This window comes from Homo sapiens, chromosome 7 (assembly GCF_000001405.40).
Source record: "Homo sapiens chromosome 7, GRCh38.p14 Primary Assembly".
Lineage (NCBI taxonomy): Eukaryota > Metazoa > Chordata > Mammalia > Primates > Hominidae > Homo > Homo sapiens.
This window is the reverse complement of record NC_000007.14, coordinates 72,990,072-73,017,422: the sequence shown is the minus strand read 5'-3', so window position 1 is coordinate 73,017,422 and position 27,351 is coordinate 72,990,072. Positions and strand designations below refer to the sequence as shown.

Here is a 27,351-nt window from a genome sequence, read left to right as displayed (position 1 = left end):
ACGGAGTCTTGCTCTGTCGCCCAGGCTAGAGTGCAGTGGCGCGATCTCGGCTCACTGCAACCTCTCCCTCCCGGGTTTTGGCAATTCTTCTGTCTCAGACTTCTGAGTAGCTGAGATTACAGGTGTGTGCCACCATGCCCAGCTAATATTTGTATTTTCACTCGAGACAGGGTTTCACCATCTAGGCCAGGCTGGTCTTGAACTCCTGACCTCATGATCCACCCATCTTGGCCTCCCAAAGTCCTGGGATTACAGGCACGAGCCACCACACCCAGACTTCTTTTTTTATTTTTTGAGATGAAGTTTCGCTCTTGTTGCCCAGGCTGGAGTGCAATGGCGAGATCTCAGCTCACTGCCACCTCCTCCTCCTCCCAGGTTCAAGTGATTATCCTGCCTCAGCCTCCCGAGTAGCTGGGATTACAGGCACCCAACACCAAACCCCGCTGACTTTTTGTATTTTTAGTAGAGATGGAATGTCACCATGTTGGCCAGGATGGTCTTGAACCCCTGACCTCTAATGATCTACCCGAATTGGTCTCCCAAAATGCTGGGATTACAGGCGTGAGCCACTGTGCCCAGCCCCTCCCATACCTCTTTTGGCCAAGGCAGTACAATTCAGAGAATCTTGCCAGGGAAGACTGGTAAATGGACATCAACATGATGCCTATGGCTCCTGGTGGATTTAGATACCTCCTGGTGCTTACTGATACCTTTACCAGTTACATGGGGGCTTTTCCATGCCAGACTGAAAATGCTGGAGATCACTGATCAACCTTCAACTATTTACTAGCAGAACACTGAGGGGACTCTGCAGTCACCAATATCTCCTATTGCACTTGGATAAACACCTCCCGGGAAATAGAGATGAATAGAAAGGAAATACTTAAACAAGCAGAATGGCTACATTCCTTCAACCAGAAGGGTCCATTAGTCTGTTTTCACACTGCTATAAAGAACTACTGGAAACTGGGGAATTTATGAAGAAAAGAGGTTTAGTTGACTCACAGTTTTGCAGGCTGTACAGGAAGCATGGCTGGGGAGCCCTCAAGAAACTGACAATCACGGCAGAAGGCGAAGGGGAAGCAGGCACGTTTCTGGCCATGGTGGAGCAGGAGAGACAGAGAGAGTGAAGCAGGAGGTGCTGCATGCTTCTAAACAACCAGATCCCATGAGCGCTCACTCACTATCACGAGACCAGCAAGGGGGACGTCAGCCGCCATGAGCCAATCATCTCCCACCAGGTCCCTCCCTCAACACTGGGAATTGCAATTGGACATGAGATTTGGTTGGGGATACAGAGCTGAACCATATCAAGGGTAGTTCAACCACTGAGATTGATTGATTGACTGAGATGGGGTCCTGCTCTGTTACCTAGGCTGGAGTGCAGTGGCACAATCTCGGCTCACTGCAACCTCCGCCTCCCAGGTTCAAGCAATTCTCCTGCCTCAGCCTCCCTAGTAGCTGGGACTACAGCACACGCCACCACACCTGGCTAATTTTTGTATTTTCAGTAGAGACGGGGTTTCACCATGTTTGCCCGGCTGGTCTTGAACTCCTGACCTCGTGATCACCCTGCCTCGGCTCTTCTTTTGCTGGAATTACAGGCGTGAGCCACCGCACCCGGACAACCACTGAGATTTAGAAGGCAGTCGAGTCCACTATACCACACCTCACCTGGTTTCTTCCTCTGTTGGGGCCCCTCGTGGCCACTGTTCTGTTACTTTTTGGTCCTATTTATTTAAATGGATGGTGAGCTGTTTGTCCTCCAGGATCCAACACTTCCACCTTCAGCTTGTATTACAACAATACCAGCCTTTCAAGCTACTCCGGGTGACCCCAGAACTCATCTGAACTCAGAAGCCCAAGAGTTTCATTCCTCTCACTTTAGGGGACTAAGTGCCCCTGGTCAGCATGAAGTCGATACAGAAGCATGACCTCCATCCCTAATCCCTCAAGAATGAGGAGTGGAAGGTGTTGGCAGGAGGGTGGGACGCGGTTTGTAAATCTGTAACTGCATCAGACCAAATCTAGTTCAACTTTTTTTTTTTTTGATGGAGTTTCACTCTTGTCACCCAGGCTGGAGTGCAATGGCACGATCTCAGCTCACTGCAACCTCCACGTCCTAGGTTCAAGCATTCTGCTGCCTCAGCCTCTGGGGTAGCTGGGATTACAAGGGTGCGCCACCACGCCTGGCTAATATTTATATTTTTAGTAGAGACGGGGTTTCACCATTTTGGCCAGGCTGGTCTTGAACTCCTCGACCTCAGGTGATCCACCTGCCTTGGCCTCCCAAAGTGCTGGGATTACAGGCGTGAGTCACCGCACCCGAATCAGTTCAACTTTTATGTAATGAAGTTGTCAGTTGTTTTCCAATTGCCATCGACCTGCAGGTTGAAGGTCATGTACCCTGTGCATGCCCAGGTTAACCACGCGTGCCACCGTGGAGTGGAACCTAAGAGCTCAGCCTGAAGAGCCCGGACCGATTTAAGAACCAGACACCCCCAGGCAGGAGCCAGGATCCAATCAGATTGAGTTTTGGTGTCACCCCATGGCAGGATCCAGTCAGATCACACCTCCCAGCATTACTTTATTGCAAGATCCAATCAAATCACACCTCATTACCCTATGCTTATAAAACCTGACACAGCCCCCAGCTGTGTAAGGGAGATTTGAGTACTTCCTCCTGTGTTCTTGCTGGCTGACTTACAAAAAAGCTTTAAAAAAAAAAAGCCAGGCGTGGTGGCTCACGCCTGTAATCCCAGCACTTTGGGAGGCTGAGGTGGGCAGATCACTTGAGGTCAGGGGTGCAAGACCAGCCTGGCCAACATGGTGAAACCCCATCTCTACTAAAAATACAAAAATTAGCTGGGTGTGGTGACACACACCTATAATCCCAGCTACTTGGGAGGCTGAGGTAGGAGAATCACTTGAACCCAGGAGGCGGAGGTTGCAGTGAGCCAAGATCACACCACTGCACTCCAGCCTGGGCGACAGAGTGAGAAGACTCCGTCTAAAAAAAAAAGTTAAAATTAGCACCAAACGCTTTACAAGTAAAAAAAGTTTTTAGCTGCATATGTTTAAGTAACTTTTTAGATTATAAGAAATACGCATGCAAAATGGAAAGGCACAAAGAAGAGAGCAAAAAGTGCATGAGATCTCACATCCAAGGATAACCGCTGAGAACATGGAAGTGCTGACTCTTCAGTCTTTATACTATACACATTTAGGCCTGTTTTGTTTTTATAAAACTGTAATCATATAATACAGACAGTTTTATAATCTGCTTTTTAAACACAACAATTATATAACATTTAGCTGTTTCATTTGCATTCAAATTCATAAGGGTTCCAGTAACTCATTTATCAGAAAACCAAGAGAAATATTCTCATAAAAATATAAGTACATAAGGTCAGGCATGGTGGCTCACGCCTGTAATCCCAGCACTTTGAGAGGCCGAGGTGGGCGGATCACCTGAGGGCAGGAATTCAAGACCAGCCTGGCCAGCCTGGACAACATGGTGGAACCCCGTCTCCACTGAAAATACAAAAATTAGCCGGGCGTGGTGGCGCGCGCCTGTAATGGTAGCTACTCAGAAGGCTGAAGCAGGAGAATCGCTTGAACTTGGCAGGTGGAGGTTGCAGTGAACTGAGATCGCGCCACTGCACTGCAGCCAGGGTGCCAAAGTGAGACTCCATCTCAAAAAAAGATAAAAATAAAAAATAAAAAAAATGTATATATATGTATATATATTTTTCCAGACAGGGTCTTACTCTGTCTCACAGTCTGAAGTGTAGTGACGCAATCATAGCTCACTGCAGTCTCAAGTTCCTGGGCTCAGGTGATCCTCCCACTTCAGCCTCCCAAGTAGCTGGAACTACAGGTGCATGCCACCATGCCCAGTCAATTTTTTTTTTAATTTTTCATAGAGACAGAGTCTCACTATGTTTCCCAGTCCTAATAAACATTATGTGATAAAAAGAAAAAAGTAAATCATCCTGAAGTTAAGTCTTTAATGAGAAATGCAAATAAAGCATTTCTCAATAAATTATGGGAAGAGAATCAACTGAAGAATAAACATCTTTAGTAAATCTTTTGCTCATGTGCATTAACCAATACTCTTGAAAACCAGGATTAATTTACTGTACCTTCTTAATATTCCTTTGAAATTCCTTATGGCGCACAGGTAGCGTAGAAAATAACTGCTTCACGCTGACTGTGGTCCCTCTGGGGTGGGGGTAGGGGGTTTTCTGGATGATTTTCCCATCGTGATCAAAAACACCAGTCGAGTCCCAACCTTCGCCGATACGTGGCAGGTAGAAATGGTGACATCACTGTGAGAGAATACCAGGCATGGTGTGTTCAGTGAGAGATCCATGATGTTGGGCACTGACTACTCTTTTCTTCACTTGCTTTTCTCTCAAAATTTTCTTAAAAAGCTGATGATCCCTCTGAGATAACCGAGATCTAAACGGTTGAGGAGTCATCACAAAATCTAAGGTCTGGCATCTAAAAGACAGTGAGACAGAGAGCACTAAACATGCTTTGTTTTGATAAAAGCTTTGACTTCATTTTTCAGGTTGAATTGCAAAACCATAAATGATCTCAAGATTTATTGATTCTCAAATAGAGATTTGTTTTGTTATTACTCTTCAAACAAAATTTTTTAAAAGAATTTTTTTAAAGAATTTTTTAAAATTTTTAAAATTTTTTTTAAAGAATCCAAAAGATATTATAATTAAAATGTATATGTAGGGCAGGGTACGGTGGCTCGTGCCTGTAATTCCAGCACTTTGGGAGGCCAAGGAGGGCAGATCACTTGAGGCCTGGAGTTCCAGACCAGCCTGGGCAACATGGCAAAACCCCATCTCTACTAAAAATATAAAAATTAGCCAGGAGTGGTGGTGCACGCTATAGTCCCAGCTCTTCAGGAGGCTGAGTCACGAAAGTCACTTGAACCTGGGAGGCAGAGACTGCAGTGAGCTGAGACTGTGCCACTGCACTCCAGCCTGGGTGACAGAGTGCGACTCTGTCTAAAAAAAAAAAAAAAAAATATATATATATATATATATGTATATATATGTATATATATATGTATATATATGTATATATGTATATATGTATATATATGTATATATTTATGTATATATGTATATATATGTATATATATATGTATATATGTATATATATGTATATATATGTATATATATGTGTGTGTGCATGTAATTATTTATAAAAATTTAGTATCTGTGCTGTAATTAAATAGTGCTTTGGTGAAATGTTTCCCTAAAAATTGATAATGAAAACCAATGGTAACTATCATTTATTATCTATATGTTATGTTCAAATTGAGAAGTTACTGTTTTAATAAGGGTAACCAATTTTTTAAACAATACTATTTGCTTCATTTCATTCATTTATTGCTCACATTTCAGAAGTACTAGGACTTAGATTGGCAGTGAGACAAAACAGAATTCAGAAGCTAGAAGCTGAGATATTGAGATAGAAAATTGTAAATAATAATGATTCCAATTAATTTTCAGAGAGGTTTTTCTAAGGGGTCAAGTGAATGGATAAAAATATTTTCTCACCTCAGTGCACAAAGTGAGCTCAGAGCTTTCCCCCGAAAGCCAAAAGTTTCAACCCGAGTTAGGTCGGCAAACTCTTGAATCTTAGATGTGTGATGTTTCAGAGCTGAAAGAGACTGTAAAGTAAGGACTAAGATATCTCAAGTGCTATAACAACAAATATACATGATATCTAGTAACTGGCTTTAAAAAACTGTTTTTGTGTTTCCCAAGACAGTGTTACTCAAAATTCTAAGACATGTGGCCCAATTATTTTGTAATAGGATTAGAAAGTTAACTTACTTAAGCCTTCGAAGTTTTCTTCTTCTACCCCACATCCATTGCCTGAAACTTCAATGAGATCCATTCCATAGTCCTTAAGCTTTAGATCTAGAAAGTTTAAAATATTTATATATTTATTAAAAATGGACCCACGCTATCAGCTTTTATATTGATATTATTTATAACGTGCAAATTTAAGTGTCGTAACTATACCTTTAGTTAAACATACTAGTGTCATTTTGTATATTTCATTTTTATAAAGTTCTTTCTGGCCATTTACTAGCCCAGATTAAATAGTTTAGCATTTTCTTTCTTTCCTCTTTTTTTTTTCCTTACACTAGTCAAGTGAAGCAGTTGGAGTGGAGAAGGAACAAAAAAATCTGTAACTGGTTGTGATCAATTAGTTGTAAAGACCGTTGCACTTTGACCAGCCTTTTCCTTTGAAAGAAATAATTTTAACATACCCAGTAAGGAGAACGGGGGCCGGGCGCAGTGGTTCATGCCTGTAATCCCAGCACTTTGGGAGACCAAAGCGAGCGGATCACCTGAGGTCAGTAGTTCGAGACCAGCCTGACCAACGTAGAGAAACTCTATCTCTACTAAAAATACAAAATTAGCCAGGCGTGGTGGTGCATGCCTGTAATCCCAGCTACTTGTGAGGCTGAGGCAGGAGAATCGCTTGAACCTGGGAGGTGGAGGTTGCAGTGAGTTGAGATCGTGCCATTGCACCGCAGCCTCGGCAACAAGAGCAAAACTCTATCTCAAAAAAAAAAAAAAGAAAAAAAAACAGAACTGGTTCTGGAATCAGACTTCCTAGATTCTATTTTATTAGCTTTATAATCTCAAAAAAAGGAAATTTACTGTCCCTTAATTTCCTCAACTGTAAAATGGAGGTAATAAGTTCTATCTCATAAAGTTATTTGGCAGATTAATAATTTTTTTTTAATTTTGTCATTTTCTTTTTTTTCTTTCCTTTTTTTTTTTTTTTTTTTAATTTTTTGAGATGGACTTTTGCTCTTGTCACCCAGGCTGGAATGCAGTGGCACAATCGATCTTGGCTCACTGCAACCTCCACCTCCCAGGTTTAAGCAATTCTCCTCCCTCAGCCTTCTGAGGAGCTGAGATTACAGCCATGCACCATCACATCTGGCTAATTTTTGTATTTTTAGTAGAGACAGGGTTTTACCACGTTGGTTAGGCTGGTCTTGAACTCCTGACCTCAAAGCATCAGCCCCCCTCAGCCTCCCAAAGTGCTGGGATTACAGATGTGAGCCACTACTCCAGGATTTATTTTATTTTATTTTATTTTATTTTTTTGAGACAGAGTCTTGCTCTGTCCCCAGGCTGGCGTGCAGTGGCACCATCTCGGTTCACTGCAACCTCCACCTCCCAAATTTAAACAATTCTCATTCCTGAGCCTCCCCAGTAGCTGGGATTACAGGCTTCTGCCACCAGGTCTGGCTAATTTTTGTATTTTTAGTAGAGACAGAGTTTCACCATTTTGGACAGGCTGGTCTCGAATTCCTGACCTCAGGTATCCACCCGCCTTGGCCTCCCAAAGTGCTGGGATTACAGGCGTGAGCCACCACACCCGGCCTGCTTTATTTTTTAATAGAGACGAGGTCTCCCCATGTTGGCCAGGTTGGTCTTGAACTCTTGGCTTCAAGCAATCCCCCCACCTCAGCCTCTCAAAGGGCTAGGATTACAGGCGTCAGACACCACGCCCAGCTATTCTGCAAATTAAATGAGATATTTCTGTGCAATTCTTAGCATAACACCTGCCTGGCACACCATAAGAACACAAGAAAAGCTGTCGTTATTATTATTACTACCTAGCTAAGTACTAGGCACATAATAGGTGCTAACTTTAACTTAAAAATAATAGTTTATTACTACATCAACACTTGATAGTCTTATTTCAATAACAAATGTTTCTTGACTACAACAACATTCACTGATCATTTCTTGTGGCTTAAAACTCTCCCAAACTTACCAATATTAGTGGCACCAGCATCCAGACTGTTTCCTACTATCTTCTTCACCGCAGTGCTTAGACTCAGTACCACCGGCCCAGAGCAAATCTGATGGACTGACTTCCGATCAATAGGTTTGATGGCCTTAGCAGGTTCTGTACTAAAGAAATCAGTTACAAGAAACAAAGCAAGTATTCAGCTATATATTTTCATCCTGATTTTAACTGTGGGAAATGACTCAACACTGCAAATAGTTTATGGGTCTAATCTATTCATTTATTATATTAACAAATACATTTATTATATCCAGAAATGGAAACATTGTTTTACAATCCTTAAACAAGTACCCAAAATACTTCTGGATAGACACTTCAAATTCAACACATCCTTACTATCTAGTATCCACATGGAGAAAACATACATTGTATCTCTCAAATTACCAAAATCTTTGGCAATAATGGTGTCTTCTTTCTTGAAAACTGAAAGCATGGCCGGTGCGGTGGCTCATGCCTGTAATCCCAGCAATTTGGGACACAGAGGCAGGTGGATCACTTGAGATCAGGAGTTTGAGACCAGCCTGGCCAACGTCGTGAAACCCTGTCTCTACCAAAAATACAAAAAATTAGCCAGGCATGGTGGTGGGCGCCTGTAATCCCAGCTACTTGGGAGGCTGAGGCAGAAGAATCACTTAAACCTGGGAGGCGGAGGTTGCAGTGAGCTGAGATTGCAGCATTGCACCCTAGGCTGGGCAATGAGCAAAAAAAAAAGTAAAAGCAACATAATTTCCCACATAATTAGAAAAACCAACAGTATGCTGGGAAATACACAATGTTTAAGTCAAAATCATCTCAGAAATTGGATACCAGTTATATAACTATTCCTTATACACAGTTGCCTTTGATACCCTACTCCAAATTGAAGCTGCCAGCTGCTGTCTTAGCAAAGACCCTCAAAGTTCTTGCTGTACTTGTTTTAAGAGGTTTTTTTTTTTTTTTTTTTTTTTTTTGAGACGGATTCTTGCTCTGTCGCCCTGTCGCCCAGGCTGGAGTGCAGTGGCACGATCTTAGCTCACTGCAAGCTCTGCCTCCCGGGTTCACACCATTCTCCTGCCTCAGCCTCCTGAGTGGCTGGGACTACAGGCGCCCACCACCATGCCCAGCTAATTTTTTGTATTTTTAGTAGAGACAGGGTTCCACCGTTTTAGCCAGGATGGTCTCGATCTCTTGACTTCGTGATCCGCCCGCCTCAGCCTCCCAAAGTGCTGGGATTACAGGCGTGAGCCACCATGCCCAGCCCACTTTAAGAGTTTTATAACAGTTTCATTTCCCCTTATTCCCTGCTCCAACCCATCCTCCACTCTATCACCAGAGCTATTTTTGAAATCACGAATCTGGTCAAATAATTTTTCTGCTTGAAAAATTACTAGTGCCCCACTTCCTACTATATGAAACTTAAAATCTAGTCATCACTGGGCCCCAAACTACCTTCTTTTCAGAATCTCTCTGATCCTTTCCCTTCATCAAGTCCCCTACATTATTATTATTATTATTATTATTATTATTATTATTATTATTATTATTTGAGACAGAGTCTCACCCTGTCACCTGGGCTAGAGTGCAATGGCATGATCTCGGCTCACTGCAACCTCCACCTCCCAAGTTCAAGTGATTCTCCTGTCTCAGCCTCCCAAGTTGCTGGGATTATAGGCATCCACCATTACACTCAGCTAATTTTTGTGTTTTTAGTAGAGATGGGGTTTCACCATGTTGGCCAGGCTGGTTTCTAACTCCTGACCTCAGGTGATCTGCCCGCCTTGGCCTTCCAAAGCACTAGGATTACAGGTGTGAGCCACCGCAACTGGCCGTCCCCTATATTGCAGCACAGTGAACAACTGTTTCCTGAACATCACAAGCTCTCTTAGACACTACAGTGTATAAGCAGGTCTCTGTCTAAACTGCTCTCCTCTTGCCCCTCTGCCCAATGTCTGCTCATCCAAAGAATGTATCCCGTGTGTTCATTAACTTAGCAAGTTCCCAGTAAACAGTTTAATTGATCACTCGTTAAGAGAAGGCGGGAAACCTCCATGAAAAGAGAAATCAGTGGGTATTTCCTACAGCATTTAACACATCGTAGGCCTTCAATAAACCCTTGTGAAATAAACAAACCTCTTTACTGTTCATTCTATGTTGCTAAGAATCTCACCTAAGTCTGTCTACCATGTGAAACTGCAGATGACCTCACAGAAAATGGAAAGAAGTATCTCTAAAAATAAGTTTATTTGGCAACACACTACAGGCTACAGGTTCACTTCTGATTTTTTTTCTTTTTTTTTTTGAGATGGAGTCTTGCTGTGTCACCCAGGCTAGACTGCAGTGGTGCAATCTCAGCTCACTGCAACCTCTGTCTCCTGGGTTCCAGCGATTCTCCTGCCTCAGCCTCCCAAGTAGCTAGGATTACAGGCGCCTGCCACCACGCCCAGCTAATTTTTGTATTTTTAGTAGAAATGGGATTTCACCATGTTGGCCAGGCTGGTCGTGAACTCCTGACCTCATGATCCACTTGCCTTGGCCTCCCAAAGTGATGGGATTATAGGTGTGAGCCACCGCACCTGGTCCACTTCAGATATTTAGATACAGACGGCAAGTGTATTTAAATGTCTCAATACATTTAAATGTAGTTACCTAAATATATCTAATATATTTAAATGCAGAGAGCAAATTTGCGTTTACAAATCTGACATGGAATTCAACTGTGCTAGCCAAGATTCGGTGTAGCTTACCAGCCAGAAATCACATACCCTAAGAGGTAAAAATGCATTGCATTTTTTAAAACTGAGCAGCTACGCAAATTAGGATGTGTCTGGACGCTCTACTGTCCCCAAAATAACCTCAATTTTTTTTTAAAAGGCCAGGCACAGTGCATTACGCCTGTAATTCCAGAGCTTTGGGGGGCCAAGGCGGGCGGACTGCTTGAGCTCCGGAGTTCCAGACCAGCTTGGGCAACATAGCGAAATCCCCGTCTCTACAAAAAAATAAAATAAAAATTAAAAATAAAATAATATAAAAATAAAAATAAAAGGGGAGAGAGAACAGGTAGAAAGGAAATGCATTCAGTCTATGGGGATTTCACGTTCCGGCTTCAAGTCCACGGCCCTGTGATGGGATGTGGGCAGGGCCTGAGACAGGCCGAACCCAACTCTTCACAGGGCCGAATTCTTTGCCCGCAGCCCAGCACCCCGAAGGAGCTTGCCTCGGCTTCAAGGCGCACCTAATGGGCACCGGATCGCTGGGGCGCTGAGGATGCCGCTCCGGGGCCTCCACGAGGCGGCCTCCCACGCGCCTCGGCCATGTTCCCCCCATTTCCAGGGAGGTCGGAAGCCGTGGTTCTCAAAGAGGGCGAGCGAGAGGGGCGACCGCGAGCCCAGCTCACCTCGAGCTCTCAGCTCTCTCCAAGGATGCAACACCGGATCCGCCTCGGGGACTGGGAAAGTGCCCTCAACGGCTCCCACAGGCGCCCCGCCTCCTGGGCTCCCATTGGCTGCTTTCGACGTTGTGCTCCACCCTTTCCGGGCGGGGCGGAAAAAATACTTCCCGTCTCTCCTTTTCGCCTAGTGGCTCTGTCAAAGGTCGAGTCCGTGACGTCAAAGAGCCTGGACCAATCAGAGCACACCGGACTGCGTTTTTTTTCCGAACGCCCGCAGCAGGGTCAGAAGGGAGGTGGTCGCCCTCCGTCGTGGTCTGGCGTGTATTCCGAGCCTTGGTGTCTGGCGGTTTCCGAGCGTTGGTGTCTGGCGGTTTCCGAGCGTTGGTGTCTTGGCGGTTTCCGACCGTTGGTGTCTGGCGGTTTCCGACCGTTGGTGTCTGGCACGCGCCACCCTCTCTTGCTTTGGTTGCGCCATGCCGATGTACCAGGTAAAGCCCTATCACCGGGTCTGCGCCCCTCTCCGTGTGGAGCCCACCTGCATGTACTGGCTCCCCAACATGCACGGCAGGAGCGGCGGCCCAGCACTTGGCACTGGCCACTTGCAGGTAGGAGCGCGGGGCACCCCGCCCACTGCGCACGCGCGGCGGCCGGGTGCTGGCCCGGGTGCCCCTAGGCCGGATAGAGTGCGTCCCAACCGATTCGCGGCCCCACCCCGGCATCTGTGCCGGCCGGCCAGGGGCTCACCCAGATTTTTATGTTTTAAAAGATTTATTCAGGCCGGGCGCCGTGGCTCACGCCTGTAATCCCGGCACTTTGGGAGGCCGAGGCGGGCGGATCACCTGAGATCAGGAGTTCGAGACCAGTCTGGCCAACATGGTGAAACCCCGTGTCTACTAAAAATGCAAAAATTAGCCGGGCGTGTGTCGGGCGCCTGTAATCGCAGCTACTCGGGAGGCTGAGGCAGGAGAATGGTTTGAACCCTGGAGGCGGAGCTTGCAGTGAGCTGAGATCGAGCCATTGCACTCGAGCCTGGGCAGCAAGAGTGAAACTCCGTCTCAAAAAAAAAAATTATTATATACATATATATCTTTATATATATTAAATATACCTTTATTATGCGTATTATACATATTGTATATTATGTGTAATATATGACATAATATATTATAAAATATATTGTATATTATATATATATATATTTTTTTCCTGGTCGAGCGCGGTGGTTCACGCCTGGAATCTCAGCGCTTTGGGAGACCGAAGCGGGAGGATTGCTTGAGCCCGGAGAGTTTGAGACCACCCTGAGCAACATAGCAAGACCCTTGTCTCTATGTTTTTTTTTTTTTTTTGAGTTGGAGTCTTGCTCTGTCGCCCAGGCTGGAATGCAGTGGCCTGATCTCGACTCACTGCAAGCTCCACCTCCCGGGTTCACGCCATTCTCCTGCCTCAGCCTCCCCAGTAGCTGGGACTACAGGCGCCCGCCACCACGCCTGGCTAACTTTATTTTGTATTTTTAGTAGAGACTTGGTTTCACCGTGTTAGCCAGGATGGTCTCGATCTCTTGACCTCGTGATTCGCCTGCCTCGGCCTCCCAAATTGCTGGGATTACAGGCGTGAGCCACCACGCCCAGCTGCCTTGTCTCTATTTTTTAAATGTTTTAATTAAAATAAAAATCTATCCATATTTTTTCTTTTTTTGCGTATGGCTGCTTAAACATTTTAGTTCAGAATTCTATCCTCTGAAAAGTGAATAGCACATAAATGCTCATTTTGAGGAATTACAAAGCGAACCCCAGGGTCACCACCTCCCAGGTTGACACACATTGTCACCGCTCCATTCTTTCCACTTAAACCTTCCCCACCAGCACCCCAGGGCCTGATTTTTATGGTAATTATGTCATGCTTGTCTCTATTATTTTGTCAGCTAAGTATCCCTAAACAATATGGTCTGGTTTTTTGTTTGTTTGTTTGTTTTGTTTTTTTCAGACGGAGTTTCACTCTGTCACCCAGGCTGGAGTGCAGTGGCATGATCTCAGCTCACTGCCACCTTGGCCTCCTGGGTTCAAGCAATTCTCAGGCCTCAGCCTCATGAGTAGCTGAGATTACAGGCACTGTCCACTGCACCTGGCTAATTTTTGTATTTTTAGTAGAGACGGGGTTTTGCCATGTTGACCAGGCTGGTCTTGAACTCCTGACCTCAGGCGATCCGCCCGCCTTGAACTCCCAAAGTGCTGGATTACAGGTGTGAGCCACTGTGCCCGGCACCTAAACAACATAGTTTTGATATAGGTAAGCATACAGCATATATTTTGATGTATTTCAGGTAATTTAGTCTAAGAACAGGAAAGGACAGAAAATGAACACAATTTGTAGTTCTTTGTTCTTAACAAACTAAGAATACTTTGCTTAAATAAGTAGCAATGAGAATGTAACTCAGTAATTCATACAAATAGACAAGAAGACAAGAAAATGATTTGAGGACAGCTTCAATCGCGGTGTGAAGAAGAAAGCAGCAAAACGACCACTGAAAACAACGCCGGTGAGTCAGCCAGTTTTCTTTTGTTTTTGAATCTTGTGGGGGAAGCAGCCCAGCTATTCGGGAGGCTGAGGCAGGAGAATGGCACGAACCCCGGGGGCAGAGCTGGCAGTGAGCCGAGATCACGCCACTGCACGCCAGCCTGGGCGACAGAGCGAGACTCCGTCTCAAAAAAAAGAGAAAACCTAAGAGGTTCAGGTGATATGGTTCAAAAAAGGACAAGATTTACAAAGTATTAAGGGACGGAAATAGGAAGAAGAGAAATTTCGAAAAGAAAAGAAAAGGATGTTTGGTTATAGAGATACGGGAAGGAGACTCAAGGAATTTTTTTTTTAAAGGGAAAAAAGTTAATAAACTTCATAATATAAAAATCAATTATTTCAGGACTGAGTCTAACTCAGACTGCTGTGGAATTGGCAGCGTAAGCCTACTTGTGTGATAATGATGAAACCAAGTGTTAATGTCACTGTTACCTTTTTTTCATATTTCTGATCTTTTTATGTGTATCAGGTGGCAAAATATCCAAAGAAAGGGTCCCAAGCGGTACATCGTCATAGCCGGAAACAGTCAGAGCCACCAGCCAATGATCTTTTCAATGCTGCGAAAGCTGCCAAAAGTGACATGCAGGTAAAAGCAGTGTCTTACCTCTGTTGATACCATCTCACTTTTTGTAAGGTGGTAAGGACAAGTGTCTACAAACTTGATTTGATGTGAACATTTTAGTGAGTGTAACATATCAAGAAAGATAAGATTATGGGGTGAATCCTTGGAGTGATAGAAGGGTAACCTTGAATAAGAGAGCATGTTCTTTTTTTTTTTTTTTTTTTTTTTGAGACAGTCTCTTTCTGTTGCCCAGGCTGGAGTGCAGTGGCACAGTCTCAGCTCACTGCAGCCTCTGCCTCCTGGGTTCAAGCGATTCTCATGGTCTTGGGAGGCTGAGGCCTCCCAAGTAGCTGGGCTTACAGGCATGTGCCACCATGCCTAGCTAATTTTTGTATTTTTAGTAGAGATGGGGTTTCGCCATGTCGGCCAGGCTGGTCTCCAACTCCTGACCTCAGGTGATCCGCCTGCCTCGGCCTCCCAAAGTGCTGGGATTACAGGTGTGAGCCACCGCACCCGGCTTCGAGAGAGCGTTTCTTTTCTTAAAGCGTGTTCTTTTCTTAAAGGTATCACAGGAGTGATTATGCCTTTATTGATTGATGGAGCAGATGAGGAGAGGCATTGCATGACATGGGAAGGAAGCTTAGATGTGGGTGGCACCTTGTTCACCCGTGTTATTTTTTAGCTCCATCTTGACAATTATACTTAATTATTTTTTCCCTGTTTCTTTTTTTATAATTTTATTGAAGTTCTAATATCTGAAAGTGTACAAAGCGTATATGTAGTTTAAAAAATAAAAATGAGATATCACCCAGATCTCTAGCCCCAGCTCAAGAAATGAAACATTAATAGTGCTGTAGAGATCCTTTGTGTACCTTCTTTCTACCCTACCTCACAGTCCCCTTATTACCCATAGGTAAACACTAGGGTGAACTTTGCGTTAATCTTTCTCATCTTTCATTATAGTGTTACCACTATGAATGTGTTCTTTAATTATGTAAATGAATCCATTATTCAGGCTTCTGTGATTTAATTATTTCAGTTAAGATTGTTTGAGATTTATCCACATTAACATGTAGTTTTATAGTTTCTGGGAAAATATTTAAAATTTTCAAACATACAGAATTTTGCTAGTTATATTTTCGTTATTTGATTTCTAACTTTATTGTGTTGTAGTCAGGGAATGTGGTGTTTGAAATTTATGTGGGGGCTGGGCACAGTGGCTCACATCTGTGATCCCAGCACTTGGGGAGGCTGAGGCAGGCAGATCACTTGAGGCCAGGAGTTCGAGACCAGCCTGGCCAACATGGCGAAACCCCATCTCTACTAAAAATACACAAATTAGCTGCATGTGGTGGCATTTGTCTGTAATCCCAGCCACTTGGGAGGCTGAGGCATGAGAATTGCTTGAACCCAGGAGGTGGAGGTTGCAGTGAGCTGAGATTGTGCCACGGCACTCCAGCCTGGGTGACAGAGTGATACTCTGTCTCAAAAAAAAAAAAAAAAAAAAAAAAATTTATGGAGACTTAGCCTTATGGCCTAGTATTGAGTTGGCACAATCATTTTATCTTTTCTGTTTCTTTTTCCCCCTTTGCTTGCTTTCCTCTGGATTTCTTATCTTCTACAAGGACCTGAGCACATTTTAATTCCAGTTGTCTTTTCCACCTTACATGCAGTTGTACAGTGTGTTAGTTTTTTATTTGAAACGGAGTCTTGCTCTGTCACCAGGCTGGAGTGCAGTGACGCGATCTTGGCTCACTGCACCTCCGCCTCCCGGGTTCAGGCGATTCTCCTGCCTCAGCCTGCCAAGTAGCTGGGACTACAGGCACCCGCCACCATGCTTGGCTAATTTTTGGCCACCATGCCCAGCCTGAATGAACTTTCAAAATTGGTTTTTAAAAGAGGTATGGAGGCCGGGTGCAGTGGCTCACACCTGTAACTCCAGCACTTTGGGAGGCCAAGACGGGCAGATCACTTGAGGTCAGAAGTTCGAGACCAGCCTGGCCAACATGGTGAAACCCCATCTCTACTAAAAATACAAAAAGGTAGCTGGGCGTGGTGGTGCACCTGTAATCCCAGCTACTCAGGAGGCTGAAGCAGGAGAATCACTTGAACCCGAGAGGTAGAGGTTGCAGTGAGCTGAGATTGTGCCGCTGCACTCCAGCCTGGGCAACAGGTGGAGTGGAGAATTAGGCTGTACAAGGCTGGTGTTTAACTATTTTATGGTTTGGTAACAGAAAGAAAATATTTACTAACTGGGTATGGCACATTTTTGTAGTCCTAGCTACTTGAGAGGCCAAAGTGGGAAGATGACTTGAACCCAGGAGTTCAAGGCCAGCTTGGGCAACACAGCAAGAGACCCCATCCCTTAAAAAAAAGAGAAAAAATATTTACATGTATTTTACTATATATATAGTATTTACATCGGGAGGAAGAAATGAAAGGCATGGGGTACATGGCATTTCAAGAAAATAAATTCTTCCATGAGAGGGAGTTAACTGGTAGGATGGAAAGTGAGTTTGGAGAGAGGGTGGCTCTAAGAGTCAACTTATCTGTCTGTGTCTAGGGATGTCCTTCCTGAGATCCGTGCTATCTGCATTGAGGAAATTGGGTGTTGGATGCAAAGCTACAGCACGTCTTTCCTCACCGACAGCTATTTAAAATATATTGGTTGGACTCTGCATGATAAGGTGGGATTCGAGTCAGTTTCCCTTTCCGTTTCCTTCATCTTTTTCCTGTCCTAGGACACTTCACCTTTTCCTGGGCCTGCCACTGAGATATTTTACCTAGTGACCAATGATTAACCCATCAAGGCGCTGAACCTTGAAACTCCGCTAGCACTGGGGAGGGTAGGATAAGGTAGAGAGAGACATACCCAGGAGATGAAATGACTCAAAACATGAGGTACGGGGAGAGAGACTTTACAATGGAAGACAGTTATTGATGGATGGTAATGCAGGTGCTAAGGGGCAGCCAAAGGATCCTTCTCATCATGAGTACTGCTGTGATCCTTTTTTTTTTTTAAGTATGAAGACAGCTGTTCATTGTTTCTGACATCTTAGAGTCCTCAGTAGAGGGGACACCCAAGCTAGAATGAGGGATCGGAGAGGGGAGTCTGGACGCTCAGTAGGGGCGAGTAGAGTGTGGTTGGTCTTATTTCCATTCTCTTGGTTTTCCCTCCTCACCAGCACCGAGAAGTCCGCGTGAAGTGCGTGAAGGCTCTGAAAGGGCTGTACGGTAACCGGGACCTGACCGCACGCCTGGAGCTCTTCACTGGCCGCTTCAAGGTGAGACGGGTGGTGCTCCTTGGCTTGGCTCTTTGTCGTGGTTCCCGTTTCCCCACCTTGTATCTTTCTACCCTTCATGCTCTAAGATGTCTTGGCTATCCCAGCATCTGCCTCTACGTAGGCACTCTCTTTAGGAGGCTCTGATTCTAAGAGAACAGAATATTTGGAATGGGCGTAATGAGATATTGAGTGACTTTCTCCTTTCTGCAGGACTGGATGGTTTCCATGATCATGGACAGAGAGTACAGTGTGGCAGTGGAGGCCGTCAGATTACTGATACTTATCCTTAAGTGAGTCCTGGGAAGAGGGGAGGCCAGTGTCTCAGACCTTTGCCCTTCCAGGGTCATCTCCCTCCACCTGTCACAGCTGACTCTTCCATCTGTGCAGGTTGACTGAGGTCATTCCTGAGTTGCAGTATGTTGAGAGGGTAATATTTCTGTCTTCTCTAACTCCCCATACTCCCTTGTCTTCCACTCTCCATTTAGGAGTTTTTTGTGAGTTATGTCCTTGTTGCTTTTGCCTCTTTTTCTTTCTAGCCTTGATTGTGCCAGAAGACAATGTCCCTATTCACACACTCTTTCTGCTTTTCTGTGGGCAGGAACATGGAAGGGGTGCTGATGGACGTGGACTGTGAGAGCGTCTACCCCATTGTGTAGGCCTCTAATTGAGGCCTGGCCTCTGCTGTGGGTGAATTTCTGTACTGGAAGTGAGTGGGGCTCCTTTTACGTTTCTTTAACACCACCCTCTCGGTTTCTCTCCCACATGTGCTGCTGCCCTACTTAAGGCCTCCCCATCTCCGTGGAAGTCTCTCTGCTGTCTCTTTTCCTCTCTCAGCTCCTTGGGGCTTTCCTTAGCTCTGCACCTCCTTTTCCTTTATCATCTCCTTGGGCCATCTCCTCCCTCTGTGGTCATCATTACACCTCCTTGTTTCCTCCTGTGCTGAGCCCTTTCCTTGTGTCCATTCCACCAGACTTTTCTACCCTGAGTGCGAGATAAGAACGATGGGTGGAAGAGAGCAACGCCAGAGCCCAGGTGCCCAGAGGACTTTCTTCCAGCTTCTGCTGTCCTTCTTTGTGGAGAGCAAGGTGACATACACAGAGATAACTCTGGCTGTTGTGCATAGGACCTACAAGTGGGCTGGGGTTGGTGGTTCACGCCTGTAAGCCCAACACTTTGGGAGGCTGAGGTGGGAGGATCCTTTGAGCCCAGGAGTTTGAGACCAGCTTGGGCAACATAGTGAGACCCTGTCTCTACCAAAAAAAAAAAAAAAAAAAAAAGACAGATGGAGAAGGATGGGGGTGTACACTGTAGGAAGGAGAGCGATATTTAATCAGTAACCACTTCCTAGGGTATTTTAACATGCCATCACTAAATCCCCATGCACCTCCTTCCCCAGCTCCACGACCACGCTGCTTACTTAGTAGACAACCTGTGGGACTGTGCAGGGACTCAGCTGAAGGACTGGGAGGGTCTGACAAGCCTGCTGCTGGAGAAGGACCAGAGCACGTGCCACATGGAGCCAGGGCCAGGGACCTTCCACCTCCTAGGGTGAAACCAGGAGAGATTGCTTGCTTCACTTGTACAAGGCAGGAACGGTGGCATGGGGTGGGGGAAACTTGGAGTTGGAAGGTGGCTAATCTTTGATTCTATGTTTTTGATCCTCCTGGCACTCCAGACCTGGGTGATGTGCAGGAGAGCACACTGATAGAAATCCTTGTGTCCAGTGCCCAGCAACTCCTGCCTCAGCCTCCCGAGCAGCTGGGACTACAGGCGCCCGCCACCACGCCTGGCTAACTTTTTTGTATTTTTAGTAGAGACGGGTTTTCACCGTGTTAGCCAGGATGGTCTTGATCTCTTGACCTTGTGATCCACCTGCCTCATCATCCCAAAGTGCTGGGATTACAGGCGTGAGCCACTGCGCCCAGCATGTTAGACAATTTTTAATTCATCCTCTCTGTGCTGTTGTTTTCTCAGCTGTGAAAGGAATATTCTGGTGGGGACAAGGTTACAGAGTTGCTGAGAGGGTCTCATGACATGAAGGTACTGGCCTTGGCACAGTGCCTGGGGGGGCGGGGACTCCGCACATGCCTGTGATGTCACAGTTACTGTCAGTTCACAGCGAACCTTCCCTCCTTTTCCTGTTGACTTTCCCACACTCCTGTAACCCTCCCTCCCTCCCTTCTTCCTCTCTCTCTCTCTCACTCACGCACACGCACACACACACACACACACACACACACACACACTCCATTCTCTGTCTCCATGACTCTGGAGTAAACTAACGTCTCGAGTTGCCATTGGAAGCCCCATTGTCCTCATTTTGTTTTGTTTTGTTTGTTTGAGACGGGGTCTCGCTCTGTCCCCCAGGCTGGAGTGCAGTGGTGCGATCTCAGCCCACTGCAGCCTCCGCCTCCTAGGTTCAAGCGATTCTCCTGCCTCACCCTCCTGAGTAGCTGTGATCATAGGTGCCCGCCACCACACCCGACTAATTTTTGTGTTTTTTAGTAGAGACAGGGTTTCACTATGTTGGCCAGGCTGGTCTCAAACTCCTGACCTCAGGTGATCCGCCCACCTTGGCCTCCCAAAGTGCTGGGATTACAGGAGTGAGCCACCATGCCCAGCCTCCGTTGTCCTCATTTAGACTTTCATGGGTTATAGGCACTTTTGACTTCCTGGGGTCCTTCTTCAGTTAAAAAAAAAAATTAGAAAATTAGGCCGGGCGTGGTGGCACATGCCTGTAATCCCAGCACTTTATGAGGCCGAGGTGGGAGGATCACCTGAGGTCGGGAGTTCAAGACCAGCCTGACCAATGTGGAGAAACCCCGTCCCTACTAAAAATAGAAAATTATTTGGGTGTGGTGGTGCATGCCTGTAATCCCAGCTACTCAGGAGGCTGAGGCAGGAGAATCGCTTGAACCCGGGAGGTGGAGGTTGCGGTCAGCCGAGATCATGCCACTGCACTCCAGCCTAGGCAACAAGAGTGAAACTCTGTCTTAAAAAAAAAATTAAAAATTATATTCGGGCCGGGCTTGGTGGCTCAATCCTATAATACCAGCACCTTAGGAGGCCAAGGCAGGAGGATCACTTGAGGCCAGGAGTTCAAGACTGGCCTGGGCAACATAATGAGAACCCATCTTTACCAAAAAAATAAAATTACATTAAAAATTAGCCAGGCACGGTGACTTCTGCCTGAGGTCACATTCAAGAAGCTGATGTGGGAGGATCGCTTGAGCCCAGGAATTGGAGGCTGCAGTGAGCTAAGATCATACCACTGCACTTCAGCCTGGGCGTCAGAGTGAGACCCTGTTTCTAAAATAATAATAATTTTAAAAAATGATATTTATGGTTGCATTGGGAAAAGATCAATCTATTAATATACGTGAAGACATTTTTGGCCTAAAAGTTATATATATTTTTTCCTTCTGATTTTAAAAGAAATGGGGCCAGGCATGATAGCTCATACCTGTAATCCCAGCACTTTGGGAGGCCCAGGTTGGTGGATCACCTGAGGTCAGGAGTTCGAGACCAGCCTGGCCAACATGGTGAAACCCCATCTCTACTAAAAATACAAAAATTACCCGGGCGTGGTGTCACACGCCTCTAATCCCAGCTACTCAGGAGACTAAGGCAGGAGAATCGCTTGAACCCAGGAAGCGAAGGTTGCAGTGAGACCAGATCGCATCATTGTACTCCAGCCTGGGCGACAAGAACAAAACTCTGTCTCCAAAACAATAACAACAGCAAAACAAATGAATAAAACTCATTATATTCATTTGCTTTTATTTATTTATATTTAACTTTATTATTATTATTATTATTATTATTTTGAGACAGAGTCTCATTCTATCACCCAGGCTGGAGTGCAATGAGGCAATCTCGCCTCATGCAACCTCCATCTCCCGGGTTCAAGCAATTCTCCTGTCTCCTCCAGGTAGCTGGGGTTACAGGTGTGCAGCACCACACCTGGCTAATTTTTTTATTTTTAGTGGAGATTGGGTTTCATCATGTTGGCCAGGCTGATCTCGAAAGCCTGACCTCAAGTGATCCGCCCACCTTAGGCTCCCAAAGTGTGGGGAGCCACCGTCCCGGCGTATTATTACTTTTAGAGACGAGGTCTTGCTTTGTTTTCCAGGCTGGAGTACAGTGGCTCAATCATAGCTCACTGCAGCCTCAAACTCCTGGCCTTAAGCAATCCTCCTACTTCAGCCTCCCAAAGTGCTGAGATTATAGGTGTGAGCCACTGCACCTGGCCTCTCTATTCTCTACTTCCTCTTTCTAGAATTTCTATTAGGCGGATGTTGAATCTCCTGAATTAATCTCTAATTTTCTTCCCTTCCCTTTCCCTTCTCCTTCCCTTCCCTTCCCCTTCTCTCCCCTCCCCTCCCCTCCCTTCCCCTCTCCTCCCCTCCCTTCCCTTCTCTCCTTCCTTTCTCTCTCTCTTTCTCTCTTTCTTTCTTTTATAGTCTCATTCTGTCACCCAGGCTGGAGTGCAGTGGCAGTTCTCAGCTCACCGAAACCTCTGCCTCCCGGGCTCAAGCAATTCTCATGTCTCAGCCTCCCAAGTAGCTGGGATTACGGGTGCACACCACCACACCTGGCTGATTTATGTATTTTTTTCGTAGAGACAGGGTTTTGCCATGTTGGCCGGGCTGGTCTCGAACTCCTGACCTCGGGTGATCCACCCACCTCAGCCTCCCAAAGTGCTGGGATTACAGGTGTGAGCCACCGTGCCCGGCCTTGACTACCATATTTTAAATTTACTGGAGGACTTTTTTGTTCTCTTCTTTTTTCTTTTTTTAATAGCATCCCGCTCTTATTTCAGAATAAAAAAAATTTTAAGGTATGTTGAGTAAGAATCTATAGAGCAATGAAAATGCAAGAGCAATAGCTATGGGCACCAAATGGTCAATCTTCTTATCATAATGTTGAGTGGAAGAAGCCAGGTCCACCAGACACATGCTGCTCATTTATGCAAAGTTTGGACACAGGCAAAACAAAACTAGTTTGATCGTGATGGGAAACATTAGAGAAATGCAAAGACATGACCATCATAATTGTCAGGAGAAGGCATTGGTTAGGATTGGGAAGCGGCAAGCAGAAGCATTTAGGGATTGGCTGGCAATGTTTTACTTCTCGGCTGAGTGAGGGTTGCATCGGTGTTTATTTGATAACACGTTCTAGGGGCTGGGCAAGATGGCTCATGTTTGTAGTCTCAGTACTTTGGGAGGCCAAAGATGGGAGGATTGCTTGAGCCCGTGAGTTTGAGACCAGCGTGGGTGACATAGCGAGACCCTGTCTCTACAAAAAATTAAAAAAAAAAAAAAAAACCCAGCTGCGTGTGGTGGCACAGCCTCAAACTCCTGGGCTCAAGCGATCCTCCCTTCGCCTTCCAGCCACTCAGGAGGCTGGGGTGGGAGGATCGCTTGAACCCAGGAGTTTGAGGCTGCAGTGAGCTATGAATGAGCCACTGCACTCCAGCCTGGGCAACAGGGCAAGACCCTGTCTCAAAAAAAAAAAATTTAATTTGAACACTTCTGTTTTGTGCAGTTTTCTCTGTTATATTTTACTTTTTAAAAAGAAAAAGCGGCTGGGCGCGGTGGCTCACGCCTGTAATCCCAGCACTTTGGGAGGCCAAGGTGGGCGGATCACCTGATGTCAGGAGTTCGAGACCAGCCTGACCAACATGGAGAAACCTCGTCTCTACTAAAAACACAAAAAATTAGCCGGGCGTGGTGGCGCATGCCTGTAATCCCAGCTACTCGGGAGGCTGAGGCAGGAGAATCGCTTGAACCTAGGAGGCAGAGGTTGCAGTGAGCTGAGATTGCACCACTGCACCCCAGCCTGGGCAATAAGAGTGAAACTCCATCTCAAAAAAAAAAAAAAAAAAAGGTGCATGAAACATATGAAGCAAAAAGTGAAAGTCCCCATTCTTTTCCTTTTTCCAGAGGTGATTTTTGTGGCCAATCTGGTTTCATTCCCTCCCAGACACTTTTCTAGGCATCTATGCGCCTCTATTCACATATAAACAAAATAGGAGTTTTCCTGTGCTTCCCTTAAATGGCATATGTATCTTTCACTCTTTTTTTTCACCTAGTGGATCTTTAATACCTTAAAAGCTCAACCTGGGCTTGGTGCGGTGGCTCATACGTGTAATCCCAGGCCTTTGGGAGGCCAAGGTGGGAGGATCACTTGAGCTCAGGAGTTCCAGACCATTCCAAAGCAAAAACAAAAGGATTTTGAGATCAGTGTGGGCAACTTAGCAAAACACCATCTCTTAAAAAAAAAAAAAAATTAGCCAAGCTTGGTGGTGTAAGCCTGTAGTCCCAGCTACTTGAGAGGCTGAGGTGGGAGGATTGTTTGAACCCAGGAGGTTGAGGCTACAGTGAGCTGTGATTGTGCCACTGCACTCCAGGTTGGGTAATGCAGCGAGACTGTGTCTCAAAAAATAAATAAAATAAAAAATAAATAAAAGCTCCACCTGTCTTCCTTTTAGATGTTGCATAGCATTTCACACAGTATTGATGTATTACAGCTCAACTAAATTAATCCCAGTATCTAGCACTTGGGGTGGTGGGAAGGATTAAGGGAGATAATATAAGCCAAGTGCCCAGAACAAGGGCTTGGCACACCAGGCTCGCCTTGAACAATTTGTTTTTTTGTTGTTTTGTGTGTGTGTGTGTTTTTTTTTTGAGACAGCATCTCATTGCATCACCGAGGTTGTAGTGCAGTGGTGCAGTCGTAGCTCACTACTGTCTCAGACACCTGGGATCAAGCGATCCTCCCACCTCAGCCTCCGGAGTAGCTGGGACTACACATGCATCACCACACCCCACTAATTTTTAAATTTTTTGTAGAGACAGAGTCTCATTATGTTGCCTAGGCTGGTCTCAAACTCCTGGCCTCAATTAATCCTCCTCCCTTGGCCTCCCAAAGTGCTGGGATTACAGGGATGAGCCACTGTACCTGGCAGCCTTGAGCGATTTCTCACCTCCTCATTGGCCCAGTTTCCTTATCTGTAAATGAGAGTAGCTGTAAAATATGGTTAATGTGAGGACCAAACGGGTCAATTAGGGAAAAGCAGTGTCTCTGCCAGCACCTGACACTTCTTTTTTTTTTTTTTTGTGAGACAGTCTCACTCTGCTGCCCAGGCTGGAGTGCAGTGGTGCAATCTTGGCTCACTGCAACCTCCACCTCCCAGGTTCAAGCAATTCCCCTGCCTCAGCCTTCTGATTAGCTGGGACTACAGGTGCCTGCCACCACGCCTGGCTAATTTTGGAATTTTTAGTAGAGATGTGGTTTCACCATCTTGGCCTGGCTGGTCTTGAACACCTGAACTCAGGTGATCTGCCCACCTCAGCCTCCCAAAGGGCTGGGATTACAGGTGTAATGGTTAAGGAGGCAAATCTTAAATAAAGGCCGGGCACAGTGGCTCACGCCTGTAATCCCAGCTACTCGGGAGGCTGAGGCAGGAGAATTGCTTGAACCCGGGATTGCAGTGAGCCAAGATCGCACCACTACACTTCAGCCTGGGTGACAGAATGAGACTCCGTCTTAAAAAAAAAAAAAAAAAAATTTAAATAAAATGCATGCAATGTGGTCCAGGCGTGGTGGTGCATGCCTGTAACCCCAGCACTTTGGGAGATAGAGGCAGGTGGATCCCTTGAGCTTAGGAATTTGAGACTAGGCTGGGCAACATAGTGAGACCTCATCTCTAAAATTAAAAAAATAAAAGCCACCAGAAAAAAACCTAAAAACATGCCAAGTGACATCAGTCTTTGATGAAAATGGCAGCAGAAGAGTGATGCCATGGGTGGGGGTGGGAAATGCTATTTCAGCAGAGAGGGAGCTGTCATGGAAGACACCATGTGGCTGGGCACGGTGGCTCACACCTGTAATCCCAACACGTTGGGAGGCCAAGGTGGGCAGATCACTTGAGGTCAGGAGTTCAAGACCAGCCTGGCCAACATGGCAAAACCCCATCTCTACTAAAATCCAAAAATTAGTCGGGTATGGCAGTGCACGCCTGTAATCCCAGATACTCGGAAGGCTGAGGCAGGAGAATCATTTGAACCTGGGAAGTGGAGGTTGCAGTGAGCCAAGATCGTGTCACTGCACTCTAGCCTAGGTGATAAAGCGAGACTCAGTCTCAAAAAATAAAGGAAGAAAAAGAAACCAGGTGACTGTTGTGCCCGTCTCTTGTCCCCGATCTTTCTCCCAATCCTGAGGTCCATCAGCTGGAAGGACATATCCATCCGGAGGCCTCCCCAAGTGTGGTGGGAGAAATCCATCCCCTCTCTGACACTCCCCCCGCCTTTCCCTCCCGACACCCAGTCCCCGGGAGATCAAAATTTAACCTGGTGTTATCTAGGCTGGAGCCTGAAGAGCCCGGTGGGAAGTGGAGGACGGAGAGGAGGGGCATGGACCCAGAAAGTAGCAGGAAGTCTTCAGAGACCCTTATTTTTAAATTATTTATTTTTGTTTGTTTTGTTTTTTGTTTTTTTGTTTCCCTCTTGTTGCCCAGGCTGGAGTGCAGTGGTGTGATCTTGGCTCACTGCAACCTCTGCCTCCCAGGTTCAAGTGATTCTCCTGCCTCAGCCTCCTGAGTAGCTGGGATTACAGGCGCCCACCACCAAGTCCGGCTAATTTTTGTGTTTTTAGTAGAGATGGGGTTTCACCTTGTTGGCCAGGCTGGTCTCGAACTCCTTACCTCAGGTGATCCACCCACCTCGGCCTCCCAAAGTGCTAGGATTATAGGCTTGAGCCACCGCACCTGGCCCTTCAGAGACCTTTGGAGCCAGAGGTGACATATCGATCTACATTTAACCCTCTGGGAACCAAGGAATGAAGGATTAGAGGAAACGGGGCCAGAAGTGGAGAGAAGGGGAGTGTGCATCGAACAGACAGGGAGTGTATTAAATAAATGAATGAGTGAATGAATGATCCATCCATATGGACACTAGCCTGTCAGTAAAGAAGAGTCTAGGGTCAGGGAGAGCTCAGCCCTCCTCAGGCCGCCCCCATGATGACATAGCCTTGGGCTAGGGGAAATCTGAGGTCAGGCCAGCTGCCTGGCAGGAGTTGAGACCCCAGAAGGAAGGTGGAGGGCAGGAACATTCCCCAGCCCCAGGGTGGGATCTCAGCCCAAGGAGATGGGGTTCCCAGGCCAGGGTCTGCCTTGGGCAGGCAGATGGGTGCCAGGTGGGCCCTGGGTCACCACTGGGGGCCAGCCCCAGCCCAGCGTCTGCCTCCCCCACTGCCCAGCCTCTGTTCATTCCCAGGTGGGACAGGGAGCCACAGCCCCCATCCCACCCCCAGCACAGAAGCCTTTTGACAGGCCGGCCGGCTGGCTGGGAGCACTGGCAGCCCCTCAGCCCCACGCCTCCTTCCCGCCCGGTCCCCATGCAGACCCCCCCACCTTCTGGGCTCCCAGTAGGCCCGGGTGGGGAGCCACCGCCCGAGCACAATGTAGCTCCTTGTTCCCCGCCTTGGCCTCCTGGAATTGGCCCATTTCCTGCCTGGGCCGTGGGGCCTTTTCCAAGGTAAATAAACAAATACAGAGAAGTTGGGGCCTGGGGTGGAAAGGGGGATGCTGGGCTTTTCCTCCCTGCATCCCAACCCCATAGCAATAGCTGCTGTGTGACCACAGGGACCGGGACACCAAGGCTGAGCTCCCACACCCTGGGCTTCAT

General features: G+C 46.3%; 1 long non-coding RNA gene and 2 pseudogenes across 3 annotated transcripts, besides 3 other annotated features; 1 reads left to right on the top strand and 2 right to left on the bottom strand.

Annotated features, from left to right (window-relative positions):
* Positions 1-1,047: 1,047 nt before the first annotated feature.
* PMS2P7 (PMS1 homolog 2, mismatch repair system component pseudogene 7) lies at positions 1,048-11,343 on the bottom strand (annotated as a pseudogene). The gene is made up of 6 exons (NR_130940.1): positions 11,249-11,343; positions 7,840-7,979; positions 5,868-5,954; positions 5,589-5,701; positions 4,146-4,331; positions 1,048-1,094 (listed from the first exon to the last, which is right to left on the bottom strand). The product of NR_130940.1 is annotated as a PMS1 homolog 2, mismatch repair system component pseudogene 7 (transcript).
* Positions 11,090-11,598: an enhancer, noted in NCBI's record as "NANOG-H3K27ac-H3K4me1 hESC enhancer chr7:72476348-72476856 (GRCh37/hg19 assembly coordinates)". NCBI's record gives its function as "activates a minimal SCP1, AML or CMV promoter by ChIP-STARR-seq in naive H9 embryonic stem cells {active_cell/tissue: H9 hESC(naive)}" and the evidence as "EXISTENCE:reporter gene assay evidence [ECO:0000049][PMID:30033119]".
* On the top strand, positions 11,480-20,128 carry STAG3L3 (STAG3 cohesin complex component like 3 (pseudogene); annotated as a pseudogene). Its single transcript, NR_040582.2, has 9 exons — positions 11,480-11,847; positions 13,693-13,778; positions 14,286-14,402; positions 16,942-17,065; positions 17,564-17,662; positions 17,873-17,952; positions 18,261-18,368; positions 18,633-18,747; positions 19,059-20,128. The product of NR_040582.2 is annotated as an STAG3 cohesin complex component like 3 (pseudogene) (transcript).
* Positions 11,599-12,107: an enhancer, noted in NCBI's record as "NANOG-H3K27ac-H3K4me1 hESC enhancer chr7:72475839-72476347 (GRCh37/hg19 assembly coordinates)". NCBI's record gives its function as "activates a minimal SCP1, AML or CMV promoter by ChIP-STARR-seq in naive H9 embryonic stem cells {active_cell/tissue: H9 hESC(naive)}" and the evidence as "EXISTENCE:reporter gene assay evidence [ECO:0000049][PMID:30033119]".
* Positions 11,903-11,962: a silencer, noted in NCBI's record as "silent region_18243". NCBI's record gives its function as "represses an Ori minimal core promoter by ATAC-STARR-seq in GM12878 lymphoblastoid cells {active_cell/tissue: GM12878}" and the evidence as "EXISTENCE:reporter gene assay evidence [ECO:0000049][PMID:35858748]".
* Positions 19,907-25,861, bottom strand: LOC124901672 (uncharacterized). The gene is made up of 2 exons (XR_007060382.1): positions 23,490-25,861; positions 19,907-20,016 (listed from the first exon to the last, which is right to left on the bottom strand). It is a non-coding gene; the product is annotated as an uncharacterized LOC124901672 (long non-coding RNA).
* Between the last annotated feature and the right edge of the window lie 1,490 nt (positions 25,862-27,351).